Source organism: Homo sapiens, chromosome X (assembly GCF_000001405.40).
Source record: "Homo sapiens chromosome X, GRCh38.p14 Primary Assembly".
In the NCBI taxonomy this organism is placed as follows: domain Eukaryota; kingdom Metazoa; phylum Chordata; class Mammalia; order Primates; family Hominidae; genus Homo; species Homo sapiens.
The window spans coordinates 147,698,569-147,705,399 of NC_000023.11; the positions used below are offsets into that span (position 1 = coordinate 147,698,569).

Below are 6,831 nucleotides of genomic sequence, written 5' to 3' on the forward strand. Positions count from 1 at the left end.
TCGCAGCACTTTGGGAGGCCAAGGTGGGGGGATTATGAGGTCAAGAGATCGAGACCACCTGGCCAACATGGTGAAACCCCATCACTACTAAAAATATAAAAATTAGCTGGGTGTGGTAGAACGCGCCTGTAGTCCCAGCTTCTTGGGAGACTGAGGCAGGAGAATCGCTTGAACCCGGGAGGCGGAGGTTGTAGTGAGCTGAGACTGCGCCACTGCACTCCAGCCTGGCAACAGAGTGAGACTCTGTCTTTAAAAAAAGCCTGAGAAGCACTCAGCCCATTGTTGCTCTCTGGAATATGGAGGGAGTCATATGGAAATCATAAGCAAGAGCTGAATTCTTCAAACAACCTGAAGAAGCTTAGAAGTTGATTCTCCTCACATGAGAGGCTAAAGATGGTCAAAGTGGTTCCAGGCCAGTCACCACCTTAATTTTGCATAAGGGTTCAGTAAAGATGGTGGGAGAAGCTGCAAAATAAACACAAACCATCTTAGAAAGCCGGAAGGTTTTTGCAGTAACCTCAGGATAGAGTTATAGCTGAGGGCAGCCTAATCCTCTGAGCTATGGCAAGGGTAATTAACATAGGAATGTAGAGGAGTCTATCTAAATAGCTTGTTTACTCACGTGGTCCTATGACTAACCTTTGACTGCCTGCAGGTCCATTATTGCTCTCTACTCAGGGGGTCTGCAATGGTAATTACCTTCTAGTGGTGTTTACTTGAGACTTTTGTCATTTAATGTGTGCTGAATAAATAAATGCCAGCAGGGCCAGCAAGTCAAGGCCAGCAGCTGCAACTCTTTACAGCACTCTCCTTGGAGTCTGTAAGTGGCCCAGATGCTCAGCTAGACTAACAGGCATAATATCTGTGTCAGTGTATGTTATTCATCTGTCATCGGGTTAGGGTCTGTGGGATAGACCCCCGCAATTTTGCCCTTGTGATACCCTGAGCAGAATACTTAGTTGAGATACAGCCAACATAATACTGAATGGGGAAAAGTTGAAAACATTCTGAGAACTGGAACAAGACAAGTATGCCCACTCTCACGACTCTTCTTCAACATAGTACTGCAAGTCCTAGCCGGAGCAATCAGACAAGAGAAAGAAATAGAGGGCATCCAGATTGGTGAAGAGGAAGTCAAACTGTCACTTTTTGCTGATGATATGATAGTTTACCTTAAAAACTCTAAGGACTCCTCCAAAAAGCTCCTAAAACTGATAAAAGAATTCAGCCAAGTTTCTGGATACAAGATTAATATACCAAGCAGAGAATCAAATCAAGAACTCAACCCCTTTTACAATAGCTGCAAAAAATAAATACTTAGCAATATACCTAACCAAGGAGGTGAAAGATCTCTACAAGGAAAACTACAAAACACTTCTGAAAGAAATTACAGATGACACAAACAAATGGAAACACATCCCATGCTCGTGGATGGGTAGCATCAATATTGTGAGAATAACCATATTGCCAAAAGCAATCTACAAATTCAATGCAATCCCCATCAAAATACCACTTTCATTCTTCACAGAATTAGGAAAAACAATTCTAAAATTCACATGGAACCAAAAAAGAGCCCACATAACCAAAGCAAGATAAGCAAAAAGAACAAATTGAGACATCACACTACCTGATTTCAAACTGTATTTTAAGGCCATAGTCACCAAAACAGCGTGAAACTGGTATAAAAATAGGGACATAGACAAATGGAACAGAATAGACAACCAAGAAATAAGCCCAAATACTTACAACCAACTGATCTTTGACAAAGTAAACGAAGTGGGGAAAGGACAAATGGTGCTGGGATAATTGGGTATCCACATGTAGGAGAATAAAACTGGATCCTCATCTGTCACCCTATACAAAAATCAACTCAACATGGATTAAGGACTTAAATCTAAGACCTGAAACTAAAAATTCTAGAAGATAACATCGGAAAAACTTGTCTAGACATTGGCTTAGGCAAGGATTTCATGACCAAGAATGCAAATGCAATAAAAACAAAGATAAATAGCTAGGACTTAAACTAAAGAGCTTTTGCACAGCAAAAGGAAAAGTCAGCAGAGTAAACAGACAACCCAGAGAATGGGAGAAAATCTTCACAATCTATAAATCTGACAAAGGACTAATACCAAGTACCTACAAGGAACTCAAATTAGCAAAAAAAAAAAAAAAAAAAAAAAAAAAAAAAAAAATCCCATCAAAAAGTGGGCTAATCGACAATTCTCAAAAGATATACAAATGACCAACATGAAAAAATGTTCATCACTAATGATCAGGGAAATGCAAGTCAAAATCACAATGTGATACCACCTTACTCCTACAAGAATGACCGTAATCAAAAAATCAAAAAACTGATGTTGACATGGATGCAGTGATCAGGGATCACATCTACACTGCTGATGGGAATGTAAACTAGTACAGCCACTATGGAAAACAGTGTGGAGATTCCTTAACTCAAAGTAGAACTAACATTTGATCCAGCAATACCACTACTATCTACCCAGAGGAAAAGAAGTCATTATATGAAAAAGATACTTGCACATGCATATTTATAGTGGCACAATTCGCAATTGCAAAATCCGGGAACCAACCCAGATGCCCATCAATCAATGAGTAGATAAAGTGTGTGATACACACACACACACACACACACACACACACACACACACACACTTGATGGAATACTACACAGCCATAAAAAGGGATGAATTAACAGCATTTGCAGCGACCTGGATGAAATTGGCGTCTATTATTCTAGGTAACTCAGTAATGGGAAACCAAATACCGTATGTTCTCACTGTTATGTGGGAGCTAAGCTATGAGGCCGCAAAAGCATACGAGTGATACAATGGACTTTGGAGACTTGGGGGTAAGTGAGGGAGGGAGTGAGGAATAAAAGACTACAAATAGGTTGCAGTGTATACTGCTCAGGTGATGGGTGCACCAAAATCTCACAAATCACCACTAAAGAACTTACTCATGTAACCAAACACCACCTGAACCTCAACTTATGGAGAAATAAAAAATATAACAAAAGATACTTCAACACTGAAGTCCTGAGAAGTTCAGTGCCTTTCTTAAAGTCATTCAACTTGTCCACAGTAGCACTGCGATGGCTAGAATCCAAGTCTAGTTTACTTTGACACTACAGTCCTAAATAAATAATTGAAAATTATTTTATTCCCTCCTTTCCTCTCCCTCCTCCCTCTGTCATACTTTACATTTGACAGTTAATATACCTCAAAGGCTTCTTCCTTAACAGCCCCGTGTATATATAATAAAGGCTTTGGTAATGCTGCTCTGCATCAAACAAACATATGCATTCCTATAGTTCAAAATGAGAAGCTTCCTCTCTTGTTTGACACCTTTTACTAATGATTTGTAGAAAAATATCCTGTAAACCACAGAGCTGGGAAAATTCCCTAATCCAGTTGTCAACAGGGATCATATCACAAATTATCTTTGTTAAATCATTTTCCTAACTTTCTGGTATAATTAGCTCTGGGTCTTCCATCAGAGATTTAGCTTTCTAGTTATGGCAATTCTAAGTACATCAAAATGCATCCTCACCTGGGGTTTACTGCTTTACCTGAGCTGCTTTTGCATCTGTTATATGGAAATAAAGCCACCTATTTCCTACACACATTAGGTAAAGAAGAAGTGTTATTTTTAGAACAGAAGCAACAGATATAATTCAGTTCAAATTTCTTTGCTTTCGAGTAAGCAGTGTAATCTCTGGGTACAAAAGGGAATCACATCTTCCCAAGCATTGCTATGTGTGGTTGTAGACAGTTGCTTTGGGGAACTGGGGAAAGAGAAAAGGTACACAAGAGAAGCACTAGGAAACCAGAAAGTGGGACATAGGCAAAACCCTTACTGATGACTTCGACTCGGAAGCAGGCTTCAGAATACATTTGAAACCAGTATGTGTTTTTAGTGATATAACGCGATAGAAAACATCCACACTGAGGCCATAGTGGCCACATGCCTGCCAGTGAGTAAAGGCAGAACAAATCCCATCCTAGTACACAGACATAGTCTTAGGAAAATTTTTAAAATCACACCAGGTACCCTTTGAGAGTGAAAATAGGAAGGACTTTTATTCCATGCTGGCTGGGGACTAGGCCTGACCTCAGAGGGACTATCAGAGGCAACAGCACTATCCAATCATGTTTCTTGGGGTTTTCATCAAAAAAGATTGTGGTGTCACTTCTTCAATGGCTGAGAAGCCCCCTCTGCAGCCTGGGCAATAGGAGCTTCCCTTTTTCCTCAGGGTTCTCAGGCCCTATTCATCCCTCTAGCCAAAACGATATTCTAAATCTCATTAATAATGTACTTGTGTATGGTGCCTTACATCTGACAAGTTTTCACATGCACCTTTGTTCCACATGATCCGCAAACATCATCTTCAAAATATTCAAAATGACTTCTTACCCTCTCCACCCCTGCTCCTTGGTTCAGATCACCGTCGTCATCTCCCCACCGGATTACTTCAATAGCCTCCTTGTAGGTTTCCCTACCTCTACTCTTGCCCTCCTGCTGTCCATTATCAAAACAGCACTCCCAGTGATCCCCCTTAAAACTTAAGTTATATTGTGTCACACTCTTGCTCAAAACCCTCCAATGGCTTCCTATCTCGCTATGACCCATGAAACCCTACTTGATCTGTACCCCCATTACACCTTGACCTCATCTTCTATTCCTCTCCCTCTCATGCCCTTTTTTCCACAAACATTGGCTTCCTTGCCAGTCCTTGATTGTGCGATGTACGTTCCTGCTTTTAAGCCTTTTTTCTAGCTGTTTGTGGCAACAGTCATGAACTCTTTTCTCGCATCAGATGTTTTAAACCTCCTTAAGCTTACTGATTCACTAGAAGAAATCACAACTTAATAGCAGTTTATACTCCTGGCTAAGATTATAGCAAAAGACACGGAGTAAAAGCAGCAGGAAAAAGATGCACTGAAGGAGTCCAGAGAAGTCCAGCACAGGCTTCTGATGTCCTTCCTTATCCAAGGCCACACAAGACAGGCTTCTTAGCTGGCAGAAAACTACAGGGACAAATGTGGAATGACTCTGCCAAAGGAAACCCATTTAAGCCTCAGGGCCTGAGGCTCTCAGAGGGTTGGTCACATAGGGACATCTTGCCAGCAATCAGCCATGGCAACTGAAATTCAGGAGCTCAATGAAACAAGGTACACACAATCAATCTTGATGCTTGAGCAAAACAATCATGCAAGCTGCTCTGGTATGGTTCATTTCTTCAGGTATATACAACAAAATAATTCAATGATATCAAGAACATTCTGAGGATTACATTTCCGGGGATTCTTCAAAAAATAGAGGACACTGGAGACATCCAAGGAATGAACAGCCAGACCTATTGTGTTCATTCTTTCTTCATGCTCCCTAATCTTGATGTACTTCCCTGTAATGGAATATATTTACCAGCCTCTGATAAGCTTAAATACTTATAATCACAAATTATTAAATACTTATAATTAAATCCAAAGAGAGGAAGCCTCTAAAAAAATTGTGGGAATGGCTATTAGCCATGTAATATAAGCAAAAAAATAAGTACTTGTGTTTGTCAGAGCCTGGAAAATTAGAGTTGTTGCTGCAGCAGAAGCTGACTAATATATCATTCTTTCTTTCTTAAATGCTCTTCCCCAGGTATCCCTTGGCTTATTCTCTCACCTCCAAGTCTTTACTCAAATCTCATACTCCCCAAAGGCCTACACCAGTCACCCTAGGCAATATTATAACTGACATCCAAAACCCTACCTGCAAATTTGATTCCTCTTAACCGCTTCTATGTTTTCATTAGCATTACATTAGCACTCATCACCTCCTAATGTATAATTGATTCATTCATTATGTTTTCTCCCCCTACCACTTGTTCCCTGCCACCCCCACCCCGACCCTTGCTAGAATAAAAAGAAGGCAAGGACATTTGTCTGCTTTGTTCAATAATGTATTCAAAGAACCTAGGATAGTGCCTAGGACATAGGGAGTACTCAATAAATATTCAGTATTTATTGAATGACAGAGTATGCTAGGGATTATTATCCCCATTCTTTCAGATAAGGAAATTGAGACATGGAGAGGTTAAGTAACTCGAGCAAGTTATTTTTTAGGTGCACAGAGTTGAATCTAAAACAAGTCTGTAGAATTACAAGCTGTGACCACATCAGGGTCAAATTCAAATATAATTAGATATTTTAACATTTAAGGAAATTGTATGCTGTATAAATATGGATGACTACAAAAGTCCATTAAGTTCAAAGATTTTTAAAATTAAATGGAAAAGATATGTACATATACTAATCAAAGATCTTTAGAGTTTAAAGGAAAATACATATAATGATAACAACAGTTAACATCTATATAGCATCAACTATGAGCCAGGGTCTATTTCAAAGGGTTTTACTTGCATTAATGCATTTAATTCTCATTAAAAAAACTTATGATGTAGTTTCTGGTATTATCTACATTTTACAGATTAGAAAACTGAGGTACAGAGAGTTTAAGCTCCTTTTCCAAGGTCACACAACTAATAAGTGGTATAGCCAAGATTTGAACCAAGGCAATCTGGGTCCATAGTCCATGCTTGGGCACTAAGCACTACGGCACATCTTAAACACAGAATTGTAAGTGGTCAACTTGGGAGGACATTGGTGAACCTGAGAAGCAGCATTAGGTAATTTGAGTTAGGAAACTCATTCCCTTTTAAGCGGAGTCACCTGAGATACAGTGACTGTACAAAAAGGGCTCAGAATGAGACCTCAAGCTCCAGGCCTCAAACCTGGTCAGCATCTCCTATTGAAAGTAACC

At 39.7% G+C, this 6,831-nt stretch overlaps 1 annotated feature.

Annotated features, from left to right (window-relative positions):
- Positions 300–1,099: an enhancer, noted in NCBI's record as "OCT4-NANOG hESC enhancer chrX:146780386-146781185 (GRCh37/hg19 assembly coordinates)". NCBI's record gives its function as "activates a minimal SCP1, AML or CMV promoter by ChIP-STARR-seq in naive H9 embryonic stem cells {active_cell/tissue: H9 hESC(naive)}" and the evidence as "EXISTENCE:reporter gene assay evidence [ECO:0000049][PMID:30033119]".